Genomic DNA, 16293 nt, shown 5'->3' with positions numbered 1-16293 from the left:
CCCCGAACCAAAGTGTTGGGGTCAGTGCTGGGGGCGCAGGGGAGGGCAGTGGGTTTTGGTTTTGATGCGAGAGCAGCCAGACTTGTTGAGCGGCTGCTGTGTGAGCCACCTAGTGATGGGTGCGAGCAGGAGGGGTGCAGAGCTCCCGAGTCTCCTCAGCCCCCAGGAACCCACCTTACATGGTGAACTAAAATGGAGTATTTGAAGTTGTTATATGTTCCAGCCATCTTATTGGATTTATTTTTTAAGTTATTTTTGTTCTTTTCTAGCATCTTCTTTCACACGCAGGTGTGGATGTGCATAGGTGTAGTCAGCACTTGGGGTCTGAGCCTCACACGTTGTCTACACTAAGCCTGGCTGTCCACACACACGCACTCACATGTGCCCATACACAGTCACGAGTTCCACCTCCGAGCTCTGCTTCCCGTGTCCCAGCCTGAGGAGGGGCTCTTGGGCATGAAGGGCTTTGAGCATCTTGGTCCCTGAGCTCTTTCACAGACCGTAAAAGGCATCCTTCTGGAGGCCATCCAGGAGTCAGAACATCCAGTCCACAGGGGGCTATTTACGCCTTGTCTCCGCTCTTGTTTGGAGCCTCCTGTCACATATTTGAGTCCCTGAGCAGTGCATACCGTACACTAATGATTTGAGTGTGGTTTTTGTCTCTGCCACTAGACTATAAGCCTCTTGTAACAGCCCCTGCCCCAAGGTCGGTGAGACGTGTTTCTCAGGCACCTGGGCCTTGCATACACCTTGGCTTGTCCCTGGAGCATCTTCTTGCCTTGTGTAGGAGCCTGCTCTGCAGGGACCAGAATCAGGGTGGATCTGCATGGTGCAGTGACTCAGGGCTGAGGGCCTCTAGGGCGTGTCCCAGGCCAGACCCTGGGATGAGGCGGGAGCTGTGTCCAGGAAGAGGACGATGGTGGCCCTTGGCCAGGCATTGTCTGGGTCCCCACAGCCGGAAACTGCCTCCCTGCCCCAGCAGCAGTGGCGGGTGGGCAGGAAGCTGAGGCCTGGCCTCACCGGGACCAAGGGAAACAGGCGTCCTTCCTCCCTGCTGTGCAAAAGGAAAACCCAGCAGTTGGCAGGAAACCCCCAAATGGCAGAGGAACTAATTTCTCATGTCTTGGCTGGTTGTTTTTCAAAGGCAGTTCCAGAGGCTTCTCCCATGAGTCACCCTTTCATTTTAAAAATCACGAATCTGCTGAGCATGGTGGCTCATGCCTGTAATCCCAGCTACTCAGGAGGCTGAGGCAGGAGAATCACTTGAACCCGAGAGGTGGAGGTTGTGGTGAGCTGAGATCACGCCATTGCACTCCAGCCTGGGCAACTAGAGCGAAACTCCGTCTCAGAAAAAAAAAAAAAAAAATCAGGAATCCATCCCGGTAGATTCCTCAGACCATCAGTAGATACCTTGGGTGCCCAGCCCCCATGGAACAAGACCTGTCAGCCTGTGCTGTTGGAAGGTCCTCGCCTTCCAGTTAAAGCCGGGAGTGTCGGCCCAGTGCAGAATCACCTCGCCACCCCAGGCATGCTCCCCTGACCCCCACTCTCAGGGACAGGCACACAGGGGTGAATGTGTGTTGTCCAGCTTCCAGGGCCCCCACTGGGTGAGAAGGCAGATTCCAGGGGTCAAAATGCATGTTAGAGGCCATAGGGCCACTGAGGGAGCGACCCCTTCTGCCCAGAAAAGCCAGGGATGGCTCAGAATTTTAGACACTCCTCCCCACTGCCCTCCTTCTCAGCCACAGATGGCTTCAGTGTTTCTTTCCCTGATCTGCCCCGTGGCTCTCTTCTGCCCTGCCTACCTGCTAAAAGACGCTAACCCTCCTGTCGGTTTGCTTTCAGCCTGCTGCGACCTCCCTTTCTACCCACTACGCCTCCTCAACTGCTCAGCTCTGTTCTATGACATTGAAAGCAGTGACCCAATCTCACTTCTTAAAACATTTCCTTCGTGGCACCCAGAAGGCCACTCCTGGAGTCATCCCCACTTTGCTAGCCATGCTCTGGCCCTGTGGGACTCAGCCCCCTATCCTCATTCATTCCGCAGCTCCATCTCCTGCCCAGACCATGTTCTTGCAGGCCCTCAGGCCTCTTGACCTCCGTGGAACACAAGTCGCTGTGGAAACAGAGCCCATTGCCCATCCCCTGCCTGACTCTTCCATCCCCATCAGGGTAATTAACTGTACCACGAGCCTTCTAGTTGCTCAGAATAGAAACTTCAACACTGTCCCTGCCCCTCCATTTATACTGCCCGACTCTGTCTGCTCCTGTTTGTCACCATGGCCCTGCCCAGCCCAGGTCTTAGACTCTCTCCTTTAGACAGTCGTCCCCTTCTTGCCAGCCCACCCTCCACACCAGGGTCAGAGAGGCCTAAAAGCCCCATCTGATCATGCCATGTCCCTCTTCAAACAGACCAAAGGCGGCCAGGTGTGGCGGCTCACGCCATTATCCCAGGGCTTTGGGAGGCTGAGATGGGAGGATCACTTGAGGGCAGGAGTTCAAGACCAGCCTGGACAACATAGCAAAACCCCACCTGTACAAAAAAATTTACAGATTAGCTGGACATGGTGATGTCTGTAGCCCTAACTACTGCCTGTAGCCCTAACTACTCTGGAGTCTGAGGTGAGAGGATCTCTTGAGCCCAGGGGTTTGAGGCTGCAGCGAGCCATGATTGCACAGCTGTGCTCCAGCCTGGGAGACAGAGCAAGACCCTGTCTCTAAAAATAAATAAATAAAACACAGACCAATGGCAGTGCTTCCCTGTTAGCATAAAGCTTGGCCTGCCCTGTTCCCACAGCCCCTCACCCCGGCAGCTCCTATGGCCCCATCCGCCCAGGGACCTTGTGGACCACGCACAGCCACTTCCTCTGCTGAGTGTGCCCATGGGTCCCACACCCCAGGATCAGCTTCCTGGAGCTGCTGTACAAATGACCACAGACCCAGCAGCTTAAACAACAGAAGTGTGCTTCATGGTGCTGGAGGCTGTCATCTGAGATCAGGATATTGACAGAACTGGCTCCTTCTGGTGGTTTGTGGGCAACCCTTGGCATTCCCTGGCTTGTAGGTTCATCCCCCAGGTCTCTGCCTCATGTTCCCCTGGCATTCTCTCTGTGTGTGTGTGTCTGTGTCCAAATTCCTCCCCCAACCTGTTTTTTTTTTTTGGAGACAGCATCTTGCTCTGTCGCCTAGGCTGGAGTGCAGTGGCACAATCTTGGCTCACTGCAACCTCCACCTCCCAGGTTCAAGCAATTCTTCTGCCTCAGCCTCCTGAGTAGCTGGAACTACAGGCATGCGCCACCACACCCGGCTAATTTTTGTATTTTTAGTAGAGATGAGGTTTTACCATGTTGGCCAGGCTGGTCTCAAACTCCTGACCTCGTGATCTACCTGCCTTGGCCTCCCAAAGTACTGGGATTACAGATGTGAGCCACCGCACCCGGCCCAAATTCCCTTTTTCATAGAGACATCAGTCATTGGAGTAGGGGCCCAGCCTGCTCCAGCATGACGTCATCTTAACTAATTCCATCTGTAATGACCCTGTTTCCAAATGAGCTCCATTCTGAGGTACTGGGGGTTAGGGCCTCAGTGTATGAATTTAGGGGGGACACAATTCAACCCAGAACACTCCCCACCCCCCAGGGTCCCCAGCTGGCATGGGTGATTCCTCTGCCCTCCTGTGGCCAGGAGCCATCATCAGCATGGATGTCAGGCAGTTTACTTGCCCATCAACAGCCCCCTCCCAACTAGCCGCAGGCTCAAGTATGGTCCAGCTCCCCACCAGATGGTTGTGCGTCTGCCTTTGCTGTCCTGTGACCTTCCTGTCCCAGCTCCCTGAGGACAGGGGCCGCCCTGCTGGCCGTGACCCCTCAGCATGTGGGCTGACAGTTGGGGAAGGGGGGCTAGGTGTGGTCTCCTGCTGGGGGCTGCCCCTCACTTCCCCCTCCTCATCCCTAGGAAGGCCCCGCCACCACTTGCTGCTGCTCTGGCCCACGAAGCAGTTTCACAGCTGCTACAGACAGACCTTTCCGAATTCAGGAAGTTGCCCAGGGAGGAAGAAGAAGAGGAGGAGGACGATGACGAGGAGGAAAAGGCCCCTGTGACCTGTGAGTTCTGTTTCTTCTGAGGTGGCCCCAGGGCTGCTTAGCAGGCAACAAAGGGTGACGACATTGTGGGAAGCCCATTGATTGGGGTCCCTAAGGGTGCTGGGGCCCTCGCTCACAACGGCAGCAGAATCAAGGAGCAGAGAAGGCTTGCGGCCCCAGTGAGGTGGAGGGTGGCGGTCACAGCCCTCCACAGGTCATATAGTTCCCAGTCAGCCCACGAGGCAGGGGTGGGTGGTGCAGACACCCTCCTGTGTCCTGTCTGACTGAAGTTCCAGAACAGCCCAGGAAATTAAAGATGCTTATCCCGTTTCACAGAGGATCTCACAGGTGATCGATCTCTGGTCATGCAGCCAGGTTCAAGTGCCCTCAGTGTTGTAACTCAGTTAACATGCGCCCGGGCAGGCGAAGTCAGGGTTGGCCAGGTGGCATGCCAGCAGGTCTCGGGGCAGCAGCGTGGTCCCCTCAACGCTCGGGCCCCCTGCCTCAGCTGCCCCCAAGTCAGGATTCTGTTGGGTGGAGACGCTCTACGGTGTCCATGAGCCCCATGGTTAGATGCTGGTGGAAGCTTGTCTGTCAGCCTGCTCCTGGGACAGCCATAAGCATGGTGTGGCCAGGGGAACCCAGAAATGGAGAGGGCTGCAGATCCATTTCACAGAGGATATAATCATTAAAAAGCAGGGCTTTTATTTCATGTGACTTTCTTTCATTCTCCTAGTAATTTCATTTTATTATATTTCGCCAAAGTGTTGGTTGATGTTAGACCAGAAATACAGGGCGTAAGAATCGCAGGCTGCAGCAGGGGTGCCACAAGGGGGTAGCAACGTCCCACCCAGCTGAATAGTTGTCCCTGGACAGGCCAGCAGGCAGCAGAGTTGCAGTGGATTTTCCCTTCCTTGCCATTTCCTGTCGGCCATTTCCTTTCCCTTCCTTTGCCATTTCCTTTCCTTTCCCTGTTGTTCTAAATTCGGCATTACTAGTGCATGCGTGCATCCGGGGAAAAGGAACAAGGTGGGAGAAGAGAGAGAAAGCGAATACCCGAGGCCGCCAGCATCAGTGGGTGCCCGCGCTCTCCTCCTCGCTCTCGTCCTCTGCCCTCCGCCCTGGCTCCCTGCCCGCATTCCCTGGGAGCGCAGCCTTGCCTTAGCCTGGGAGACAGCTGTCCACAGTGACAGGCGGCCATTGTTCTCGGCCGAGCCAGCAGGCTTCCGGCCGGTGGCAGCTGCTGCTCCTCCGCTCTGCGGCCCCACCAAGGGGGCGCCGCCACCGCCCAGGCCCTCCCCGCCTGATGGGTCTCTGTCCGTCCACGCGGGAGACAGCGCCACCTGCCGGTGAGAAGGAGCGTTGCTGCGCCGGCACCAGCCCAGTCCTACGCTCGGGGCTCCTGCAGGCCTGGGAAGGAGGGAGGGCGCAGCTAGAAGGAAGTCTCGCCTGCCCTTGCTTCCCCGTCTGTCAGAGTGCCTCGCATGCAGGCCTGCCTAGCGGCCTTGATCATGCTCTCCCTGTCACGGAAGTAGAATGTAGTCAAGTTTTTGGACTCCAAGCCATTCTTACAAAATTGCGTCAGAGTGGGGATTGTATTATAAGAATTGCCACTGAAGAGCAGCGAGTGGCTGAAACCTCTGTGTGGCTGCCAGTCAGCCCCTCCCCGGTGACTGGATCAGCGAAGAATCCAGAAGCGAGGTTGCGGGGCTGCAGCCCTTGGCATGGGGAGTCCGTGGGCTGGGCAGCACTGCCTCAGCCGCTGGCCTTTCCTGAGCAGAGTCTAGGCTAAGCGGCTGTTGGAAATAGCAGTAGCACCCGGGGCGAGACCGTGAGCCACAGCGGCGGCCGGAGTCTCCCCCAGCCCGAGCTCAGGCCTGGTAAGCACCAGGAGCCCACAGTTTCCAGAGGGAGTGAGGAGGAGTCCATGGCATTTAGGGGCAGTTTTCTGGGCACAGTGGCCCTCAGACGAGAGGAAGAGGAGGCAGCGCTACAAGGACTGGCAGGACGAGGGGGGTTTCCTGCTGGTTTGCAGGGGATCCACTGGCCAAACTTGTGTGGAGCTGCCTTCCCTGAGCTGGGCCTGCCTGAATGAGTTCTCAGGCCCCTCCTTCACCCATAGCCTTGCCAGTCCCCAGTTCTTGCCAAATGCTTGAATAGGCCCCTGTGTTGGCCATGGCGGCAGCAGCTGGCTCTGGATGCCCCCACCCCTGCCTTGATGCATGGATTCCCAAGAACCTGTCTTTCTGTGACCTCCTGCGTGCATAAGCCCTCGCGTTCATGGTTCTTCCTCGGTGGCCCCCTCTGGCCTCAGCCCTTCTCCTTTTCTTCCACAGCCTCCGCCTTTAGGCAGGAGCTCTTTCCTCCTCTCAGTTCCCCATGTCCTTTGGGTGTGGCCTGTGACACTCAACTCCTGCCCTCGGCTGACTGGCCCTGATTCACCATGCTTGCCACATGCACCTGGGCTGGCAGGAGTTCCAGGAGAGTTTGTGCATTGAAGTGACATGAGTCCCTGAAGCCAGAGCCCCCATGGTTTCCTTTGGGCCTGTTACTGGTTGATCTTTTCTTGAGAAGCCAAGCTTAGGTAGGATTTGGGTATTTTTTCTTTTCAAATGAGTATTGTGGCTTATATTATTTGTTGCTACATAACAAATTGCCCCAAATGTAGTGGCTTAAAACAACAGACATTTATTCTCCCAGTTTCTGTGGGTCTGGAATCTGGGAGCAGCTTAGCTGGTTCTGGTCCAGGGTCTCTTACTGGGTTGTGGTGACATGGTTGCTGGCTGGGCTGGAGGGCCTGCTTCCACGGTGGTTTCAACACACGGCCACTGACAGGAGGCCCTGGTCCCGTCCCATGTGGACTCTCCGTGGCGCTGCTTGAGCATCCTCACAGCTCAGATTGAGCGATGAGAGGGAGGGAGGAAGAGAGTGAGAATACACAAGGCGGGAGGCGCAGGGCCTCTTTGTTTCGTAACACCTGAAGCACACGCAGTCACTGCCACTCTTCATCAGAAGCAGCCAGCTCCCACACTCAGCAGTGGGAAGTGAGCTCCACCTCGCAAAAGGGGAAGTCAAAGAATTTGTGGACATGCTTTAAAGCCACTGTCACACGAGACTAACACTTGTAATGAAAAACTGGGGAAGTATTAAGAAAGTGTACTTCAGGAAAAAGCTGTCCGTGGAACTGCCACGTGCAGGCCCACTCTGACACCTTGGTTGTGTGCTGTTCCCGCCTTTTTTTTTTTCTGGCCCTGGTGGTTTTTCATGGACTTGTAGTTAAACTGCATATGTAATTTTCCTTCTTTTTTCACTTAGTATCATGACAGAAGCATTTTACATGCTTATAAACTCTATTAAAATCCATTTTTTAGTTTTCTGTTTTAAGAGACCAGGTCTCCCTCTGTCACCCAGACTGGAATGCAGTGGTGTAATCGGAGATCGCCGTAACCTCGACGTCCTTGGCTCAAGGGATCCTCCTGCCCCAGCCTCCCGAATAGCTGGGAGTAGATATACCACCACACACAGCTAATTTTTTTTGGTTTGGTGTTGTTCATTTGCGACTGAGTTTCGCTCTGTTGTCCAGGCTGGAGTGTAGTGGCTCAATCTTGGCTCACTGCAACCTCTGCCTCCCGGATTCAAGCAATTTTCCTGCCTCAGCCTCCCAAGTAGCTGGGACTACATGTGCATGCCAGCACGCCCAGCTAATTTTTGTATTTTTAGTAGAGACGGGGTTTCACTTTGTTGGTCAGGGTGGTCTCGAACTCCGGACCTCAAGTGATCTGCCTGCCTTTACCTCTCAAAGCGCGGGACTACAGGCATGAGCCATGGCGCCCAGCCTGTTTGTTTTTAAGAGACAAGGTCTCTTTATGTTATCCAGGCTGGTCTTGAACTCCTGACCTCAAGCAGTCCTCCCACCTCAGCCTCTCAAAGTGCTGGGATTACAGGCATGAGCCACTATGCCTGGGCTAGTTTTTTTTAATTAAACTTTTTGTTTTGAGATAATCATAGCTGCACATGCAGTTGTAATAAATAATACAAAGAGATTCCATGTATACTTTACCCAGTTTCCTCCAATGGTAACATTTTGCAAAACTATAATAAAATATCACCACCAGGATCCTAACATGGTCAAAATACAGAGCAGTTCCATCACCAGGATCCCTCCTGTCACCCTTTTAAGGCCACCCTTATACCCCCACCCCTACAGACCCCATCCCTAACCACTGGCAACTACTAATCTTCTCGGCTTCTACCATTTTATTATTTCAAGAACACATATAAATGGAAGCATATGATGTGTAACTTTAGGGGACTGGTTTAATTCTCTGGAGATTAGCCCAGGTTGTTTGATGCATCAGGAGTTCATTCTTTGCCATTCTTGAGTGGTATTCAAAGGTATGGGTCGACCACGGTTTGTTTAACCATTTCCACGTTGAAGGACATCTAGGCTGACTCCAGATTTTGGCTGTTCCAGATAAAGCTGCTATGAACATTTGTGTTCATGTGTTCAAGCTTTTATGTGAACAGCCTTCATTGTTCTGGGATAAGTCCACAGGAGTGCCACGGTGGGGTCGTATGGGAGTTGCATATTTCGTTATGAAAATCATATTTAATAGCAGCTTAATTCTTCATCAAGAGACTAGATCTTTTTTTTTTTTTTTTTTTTTTGAGACAGAGTCTTGCTCTGTCGCCCAGACTGGAGCATAATGGCATGATCTCGGCTCACTGCAACCTCCGCCTCCCAGGTTCAAGCGATTCTCCTGCCTCAGCCTCCCGAGTAGCTGGGATTACAGGCGCCCGCCACCATGCCTGGCTAATTTGTGTATTTTTAGTAGAGACGGGGTTTCACCATGTTGGCTAGGCTGGTCTCGAACTCCTGACCTCGGGTGATCCGCCCACCTCGGCCTCCCAAAGTGCTGGGATTACAGGCGTGAGCCACTGCGCCTGGCCGAGACTAGATCATAATTTAAGTATTATTCCTTTGTCATTGGATATATAGTATTTCTAATTAATGGGCAATTATAAGTGATTCTGTACTTTGTCTTTAAAATTATTTTTGTGTTTCTGATGATTTCTTCAGGGTGGGTTCCCATGAGTAGAGTTGCTCCATGGTGGGATGGGAGACTTCAAGGGGCAAGTTGCCAAACTAGACATTTCTAATTCTGGTAACAGGCTGCCATGTGCGCGTTATTGAGTTGATGTGCTCACAATGCCCCGGGAGGTGATGGGGGCTTTGCAGGCCCCTGTGGGAGCTGTCAGGGAGCCAGCGAGGCCTCAGCTGGCTTGGTTGGCACTTCCCTGACAATCCCTCCATTGTGCCCATCAGTGCTGGATGCCCAAAGCCTGGCACAGAGTTTCTTTAACCGCCTTTGGGAAGTCGCCGGCCAGTGGCAGAAGCAGGTGCCATTGGCTGCCCGGGCCTCACAGCGGCAGTGGCTGGTCTCCATCCACGCCATCCGGAACACTCGCCGCAAGATGGAGGACCGGCACGTGTCCCTCCCTTCCTTCAACCAGCTCTTCGGCTTGTCTGTGAGTGCTCCCGTCCAGACCCTGGGGACAGCTTCGGAGGACCGGGGCGAGGGTGGGGGCCCCCCAGGTACCGAGAAGAGCTGCCCACCAAGGCTGAGACAGGAGAGACACCCGTCAGCCCCTGTACTTGCCCAGCAAGAGACTAAGAAGGGCAACAGTGTGAGTCTGTTATGAGGGAGGCCTGGATGCCACGTTCCCCTGACTCCTGCACCAGGAGCCACCTGGGGCAGCCCCTCATTTTATGCTTGTAGCAACTCATAACAGATGGTGAAACCGAGGCTCCCGCGAGCTGTCCTTTTCCAAACCTACCCCCTCATACGCACATAAGCCGGGCGAAGGCCATACTGATTCTCCCAGACTCTACCCCATCAGTGCCTGGCGCCACGCCCCACTGGGAGCACCCTGGGTCCCGCGGGTCTGTGACTCCCACCACATCCCCACCAGGACCCTGTGAACCGCGCCTACTTTGCTGTGTTTGATGGTCACGGAGGCGTGGATGCTGCGAGGTACGCCGCTGTCCACGTGCACACCAACGCTGCCCGCCAGCCAGAGCTGCCCACAGACCCTGAGGGAGCCCTCAGAGAAGCCTTCCGGCGCACCGACCAGATGTTTCTCAGGAAAGCCAAGCGAGAGGTGAGGACTGGCCGCTGGGCCTCAGGTGCAGTTTGGAGGCCAGTGAGAGTCCCAGCCTCTGCAGCGGGAAAAACGCCAAAGGGGCTGGTGGTGCTGGAAGGTCCTCACTAAACACTGCCGGTGGTCCTGCCATTTTTTCTAAAGGGGCTTGGTTTTCACTTGAACGGAAGCAGCACAAAGCCTGCCCCGACCCAGCATGGTGGGCCTCTCAGCCACACAGACCTGCCTGGCGCAGAGGGTCTGCTGGCCTCGGGGAAGGCAGCTGTGGTCAAGCGTTCCTGGGATTTTGTTTTAATGAGATATGGCAAGGTGACAGACACAGACCAGGACCTTAACAAAGAGTCTACTACTCACAGTTCCTGAGAGGAGGGGCCACGCCTCACAGAGCCATGCATGGAAAGCACTGAGGTAGTCGGGGCGCAGAGAGAAGAGAGGGAAGCTGGGCCAGAGCCGTCTCTGCATCCTCCCCAGGTATTTGCTGTCTCGAGGAATCAGCTGGCCTGGGAAGGGGCAGCCCCTCCAGGACCAGCAAGGCCCCAAGTTGTCAAAGCATCATAAAAGGCGGAATATGTAAAACCTGATTAATCTACTGCCTTCCTCCCCTTCCTCCTCTAGGCAGGGTCTCAGCAGGCTACCGACGTCCTCTGGGAACAATCCTTCCTCGGGAGTTATAGCCATGTGCAGGGATGAGGCATTTGTTTCTGAAAGAAGAAAGAATACAAATGCATCAGGCCCCTCCTCTGTGAACTTAGCCACTCTGAACCTCACCCACAGAATTTCACTAGGTCCTCCTTGTAGCCCTGTGAGGTGAATACTAATATTGTACCCATTTTAGACATTGGGAAACTGAGGCTCAGGTTGCTTAAAAGACCCGCCCCAGTGAGAAGACACCAGGGGAAAGGTGCACTTTTGTCACACGCTCTGAGCACAGACCTTCATGGAAATTAGCAGAGCCAGGCTTTGCATCTCAATAGAAAACCATGCAATCTCTGCAGCTGCAAGGACCCCAGTGAAAAGCAGGCAAGCCTCCACTCCTGGCCTCTCACCTCAGCCCCAGGAAGTGACAAAGGCCTCTGAGCTCAAGGCAGCCTCAGAGTAGAAAAGGGATTCTCTGAAGCAGGCGTAACTGCTTTATTGAGGCTGGGCACAGTGGCTCACGCCTGTAATCCCGGCACTTTGGGAGGCAGAGGCCGGCGGATCACTTCAGGTTAGGAATTCGAGACCAGCCTGGCCAACATGGTGAAACCTCGTCTCTACTAAAAATACAAAAATTGGCCAGGCGCGGTGGCTCATGCCTGTAATCCCAGCACTTTGGGAGGCTGAGGTGGGTGGATCACTTGAGGTCAGGAGTTTGAGACCAGCCTGGCCAACATGGTGAAACCCTGCCTCTACTAAAAATTAAAAAAAAAAATTAGCCAGGTATGGTGGCACGCGCCTATAGTCCCAGCTACTTGGGAGGCTGAGGCATGAGAATCACTTGAGCCCAGGAGATGGAAGTTGCAGTGAGCTGAGACTGTGCCACTGCACTCCAGCCTGGGTGACAGAGCAAGATTTTGCCTCTAAATAAATAAATAGCCAGGCGCAGTGACTCACGCCTGTAATCCTAGCACTTTGGGAGGCCAAGGCAGGCAGATTGCCTGAGCTCAGGAGTTCAAGACCAGCCTGGGAAAGAAACATGGCAAAACCCCGTCTCTACTAAAAACACAAAAAATTAGCCAGGCGTGGTGCTGTACGCCTGTAATCTTAGCTACTTGGGAGGCTGAGGCAGGAGAATCACTTGAACCCGGGAGGCGGAGGTTGCACTGAGCCGAGATTGTGCCACTGCAGCCCAGCCTGAATGACAGAGCAAGACTCTGTCTCTAAATAAATAAATAAATAAATAAATAAACATCTTTATTGAGATACAATTGACAGGTAGTAAGTGGTGCATATTTGAAGTCCACAATTTGGCAAGTTTTGGCTTATACACATATACACCTGTGGATTCCTCACCACAGTAACGGAAGTATTCATCACCCCCGGAAGCTTCATCCTGCCCCGTGTCATCCTCTGCCCTTCCCTACCTCCTCTCAACTCTCATGGGCCCTCTCTCCCTGCAGCGGCTGCAGAGCGGCACCACAGGTGTGTGTGCGCTCATTGCAGGAGCGACCCTGCACGTCGCCTGGCTCGGGGATTCCCAGGTCATTTTGGTACAGCAGGGACAGGTGGTGAAGCTGATGGAGCCACACAGACCAGAACGGCAGGTAAGGGGATCCCTGCGCCCAGGCCCAGGATATTCCTGGCCTCCATCATGCTGGGCCCATAGGGGAACCCCACCCAGCCTGGGAACTTCAGGTAGTAGTAATCCTGGCACCTTTCAAGAGGGAGGGCTCCCTGCCTGATTTGAGTGGCCGGGGGTCCCACGTGAGCCCTTCCTGAGAGCTCTGTGGGTCACAGCTATATGGAGCCCAGAGCTCCGGGGGAGAGCAGAGCCCTCTGCACTGACAGGCATCCCAGTGCAGTCAGTGCAGCCCAGTGCAGACCAGAGCCCATCATACACACGGACAAGGAGGCCACAGGCTGTGGGTGAGGAAGGCCTCAGGGAGGTGATGCTGCCCCGAGGCTGGAGGGAACCTGGCTTGGGGCTGTACTGACTAGAGGCTGCCTGGGACCCTGGCACTCAGGTCATCACCTGGACATGAGGATGACAGTCCCACTCAGACCTCTTCTCAGAAGACTGTCTCATCCATGTGTCTCCTGAGGTTGGATTGCGAGCATTCAGATATCATGGAATGACTGTTTATCCCTCAAACCCCACTTTTCCCACGTGCTGTTCTCCACCAGCTATGTTTGATTAACCATGCACATGGTGGATAATTCTACGTCAGCACATAGGAGCACCCATCCTTTCTTGGGGCTGCGGACATTGCATTCATCATGCAGTCCCTTGTGGGTGAGCATGAAGATCTTTTCAGTCTTTCGGTGCTAAAAACAATGCATCTCTACCTACTTTGTGCAGCATTAATTGCTCAGAGTCAAGTGTACCTATATCTGTAGGACACATCCCCAGAAGTGGGATGGCTAGGTTGGAACTGATGCACGTACAGTCTGGGTAGATTTGCCAAGCTTCCCACCTCAGGCCATGCCAGCCTGGGCTGGCACTACATTCCCAAGAAGGTCCATTTCCCCACAGTCTCACCAGGCTGCAGGATTCTTCCTGTCAGGTAAGAAGCCTGTCTTGGGGCAATTGTTAAGTTTGCTTTTCTGTTACAGAGTGAGTTTGAGCGTGTTTTCAAAAGCTGAAGATCATTTACACAGCCTTTCCTGCAAACACTGTTTTTTTCCTTTGCCTGTTTTTCTTATCAGTTTATAGGTTCCTTGTATATGTGAAGGAGGTTGGTTCCTTGTCTGTGATGATTTGCAAATGTTTTTCCATGCATCTTTTATTTTTGTTTATGGGCTTTTGCCACATGGAGGCTTTGTGTTTTTCTGTAGTTGAGTAGTCTTTTTGTGGCTTCTGGTTTGGAAAGCACATAGAGACACCAGGACTTGATGATTGTAACAGTCAGGGGCAGCTACATTCCTTGGCCTTTCACTGCGGCTCACGGTCTGGTATGGGCCCCCTGTACGTCCTCTCCCCATTGTACAGAGGAGAAAACTGAGGCTCAGTCACTTGCCCAGAGCACACCGCCAAAGTCACAGATAGTCTCTGCCACTCCCCTGCCTCCACCACCGTGGGGGAATTTGGCACCTGCTCCCTAGTGGGCTCTCCTCCCCAGGATATGCAGTCAGATGAAATGTGGCCAAGTCAGGATTCGTGCTGGGCCCACTCCCACCTGCTGCCTGCACACCTACAGGCTCAGCATTCAGCACCCCATTAAAGCCCAGTGGGGGCTCTGTTCAAACACTGCCTGAGTCCTGCAGTATGGCGTCGTGGCAGAGCATGGACAGATGGCCTTGCCTGGTCCCGGCTCCACCGCTTCCAAGTCCATCACACAGGGGTCCCTGGAGGTTTGGGGTAAGGATTGAGTGTCCCAGTGCATGTGGAGCACAGAGATCAGAGCTTGCACAAGAGAAGCACACACAGGTGTCTGTGTTCTTGGCTGCAGCCCGCATGGGCCAAGGAGTTCAGATCCAGTGCCCCCCACCTCCCCTTTCCTGCCGCCATGCTCTGTAGGCTTGGCCCCTCCTGCTGTGATCCTGATCACAGCCTTCCACCCTAGAGAATTAATCACAGATCCAGGCCAAGGTTCTCCCACAAAAACAAGCATCATGTCGGTTACAAGAGCAAGAAACTGGCCTCAACTTGGCGAGCTTCAACGGGGGTCCAGCAGCGGCCCAGAGCAGCTTCCAGGAGTACGTGGGGGGAGTGCGTGGTGCTCTGCCTTGTTCTGCGGCTGTCTGAACAGTCTCCTGCCTCTGCACTCAGTTCAGCCTCCAAACACTGAGTGCCCACTCTGCACAAGATACTTTGTTGAGGCAGTGAGATAACACAGGACCCACTTCCTGCCTCTAAGTCTAATGGGGGAGCAGGAGGAGGGCAAGGACCTGGCAGGATGAGGCAGAGAGATGAATGGAATGGAGCCGCATCTCAGGCAGTTGCAATTCCTGCAGGCCAGGGGAGAGACCAGGAGGAAAGGGCAGGTTATGCCAGAATCAGGGCCAGGTGTGGAGGTGTGCCCCAAGTGATCCTCCCACCTCTCAAGCCTCAGGAGACAGGAGGATGGCTTGAGCCCTAGAGGTTGAGGCTGCAGTGAGCTATGTTCATGACACTGCACTCCAGCCTTGGCAACAGAGTGAGACCCTGTCTTCAAAAAACAAAAACAAGCCCCAGAATCAGTGGGTAGAAGACTCGGGGCAGGGGAGAAGACCACCCACCTGCTGCTCCTTCAGCTGGAAAAGCTGGACTGCCCCAGGCTGGGAGGAACTCTGTAAGGACTCACTAGAAGCTTCTGAAGTGATCAGGCCACTGGAGGACAAGTTGAGGGCTGGGTCACAAAAGTGAGTTCAGGAGGGCAGTGAGAGTCACTCAAGGTCACAGGTCACGCTGGCACGCCTGGCAGGCAGCCTGGGAGAGATAGGAGTCCCGGCTCTGCAGGTGGAGACATCGCAGAGGGCCTTGGGCATCCAGGAGGATGGCAGTGCCATAGGCGACGCTGCTGCGGCCTGGCCGTGTGGAGCACTGCACTCCTAGGAAGCAGGAAATGGCTGTTCACAGGAACCCACAGGCCACCGGCTCCAGCTTTGACCTGGGAAGCTGTTTCAGGCAGGTGGAGAGGATGAGGTTTGAGGAGCAGAGGGAAGAGCTGCTGAGGGGGTGGGCGCTGGGCAGTCGGGAGGCGAAGGCAGGAGATGGCTTGAGCCCTAGAGGTCGAGGCTGCAGTGAGCTATGTTCATGACACTGCACTCCAGCCTTGGCAACAAAGCAAGACCCTGTCTCCAAAAAAAAAAAAAAAAAAAAAAAAAAAACAAAACAAAAAACAGAATCAAGAATCAGTGACTAGGAGACTCAGGGGGAATGGGACAAGACCCCTTAGCCTGGGGATATGTTAGTCCCGGACCAGACTGAGCCTGGCCAGTGTGTGACGGAGGTGGGAGCCACTGGAGGGGAGGAGGACCCAGGTTCAGGGCCAGGGTTAGAGGGGCGAGCCCGGGGAGCCGGCGCAGCCTGTCCAGCACAGGGGGTGCAGAATGGCAGGAGAGGGGATCACAGGCTGCAGGGGAGCAGCACAGCCCCTGTGCCCTCCTGCCCTTTGGCTCCACCCTGTCCCACAGCCATCCCTGGTGGTGGGGAGGGGCTTCAGGTAGGAAGGTTCTAAGCTTAGCCTGCATGGCCCCCTGTGGGGGAGAGCCACCTCCAGAGGGCATGGGAAGCAGATTGCCGTTCATTCTCCATCACCTGCCCACATTCCTGCCTCTGGGACATTGAGGGGCTGGAGTGGGCTGGGGTGTGTGGGAGACAGAAGCAGAGAAAGGCTCCTCATTCTCCCTGGAGCCTCCCACGCTCACAGCCCCTCCCCAGGGAACGCCTCTGAGGCACAGGGGAGGAGGCGCTGCTTCCTCTGCAGCT

The 16293-nt window shown here is 54.5% G+C and overlaps 1 protein-coding gene and 1 long non-coding RNA gene across 3 annotated transcripts in view, besides 4 other annotated features; one reads left to right on the top strand and one right to left on the bottom strand.

The window, feature by feature from the left end:
• The window catches only part of PPM1F (protein phosphatase, Mg2+/Mn2+ dependent 1F), a 33424-nt gene that overhangs the window by 9214 nt on the left and 7917 nt on the right, over positions 1–16293 (top strand). For both annotated transcript variants that reach the window (NM_001410836.1, NM_014634.4), the window contains 4 exons: positions 3955–4103; positions 9409–9611; positions 10056–10244; positions 12344–12487. In NM_001410836.1, coding sequence (NP_001397765.1) covers positions 9558–9611; positions 10056–10244; positions 12344–12487 — 387 coding nt within the window. In that variant the 5' untranslated portion in view covers positions 3955–4103; positions 9409–9557. The remainder of the gene's footprint in view (positions 1–3954; positions 4104–9408; positions 9612–10055; positions 10245–12343; positions 12488–16293) is intronic.
• PPM1F-AS1 (PPM1F antisense RNA 1) lies at positions 201–5398 on the bottom strand. Its single transcript, NR_147620.1, has 2 exons — positions 4022–5398; positions 201–2533 (listed from the first exon to the last, which is right to left on the bottom strand). It is a non-coding gene; the product is annotated as a PPM1F antisense RNA 1 (long non-coding RNA).
• Positions 3360–4166: an enhancer, noted in NCBI's record as "H3K27ac-H3K4me1 hESC enhancer chr22:22293841-22294647 (GRCh37/hg19 assembly coordinates)". NCBI's record gives its function as "activates a minimal SCP1, AML or CMV promoter by ChIP-STARR-seq in primed H9 embryonic stem cells {active_cell/tissue: H9 hESC(primed)}" and the evidence as "EXISTENCE:reporter gene assay evidence [ECO:0000049][PMID:30033119]".
• Positions 4167–4974: an enhancer, noted in NCBI's record as "H3K27ac-H3K4me1 hESC enhancer chr22:22293033-22293840 (GRCh37/hg19 assembly coordinates)". NCBI's record gives its function as "activates a minimal SCP1, AML or CMV promoter by ChIP-STARR-seq in primed H9 embryonic stem cells {active_cell/tissue: H9 hESC(primed)}" and the evidence as "EXISTENCE:reporter gene assay evidence [ECO:0000049][PMID:30033119]".
• Positions 4975–5781: an enhancer, noted in NCBI's record as "H3K27ac-H3K4me1 hESC enhancer chr22:22292226-22293032 (GRCh37/hg19 assembly coordinates)". NCBI's record gives its function as "activates a minimal SCP1, AML or CMV promoter by ChIP-STARR-seq in naive H9 embryonic stem cells {active_cell/tissue: H9 hESC(naive)}" and the evidence as "EXISTENCE:reporter gene assay evidence [ECO:0000049][PMID:30033119]".
• Positions 5264–5423: a silencer, noted in NCBI's record as "silent region_13518". NCBI's record gives its function as "represses an Ori minimal core promoter by ATAC-STARR-seq in GM12878 lymphoblastoid cells {active_cell/tissue: GM12878}" and the evidence as "EXISTENCE:reporter gene assay evidence [ECO:0000049][PMID:35858748]".

Source organism: Homo sapiens, chromosome 22, assembly GCF_000001405.40.
Source record: "Homo sapiens chromosome 22, GRCh38.p14 Primary Assembly".
NCBI classification, from domain to species: Eukaryota; Metazoa; Chordata; class Mammalia; order Primates; family Hominidae; genus Homo; species Homo sapiens.
This window is presented reverse-complemented; position numbering and strand designations above follow the sequence as displayed.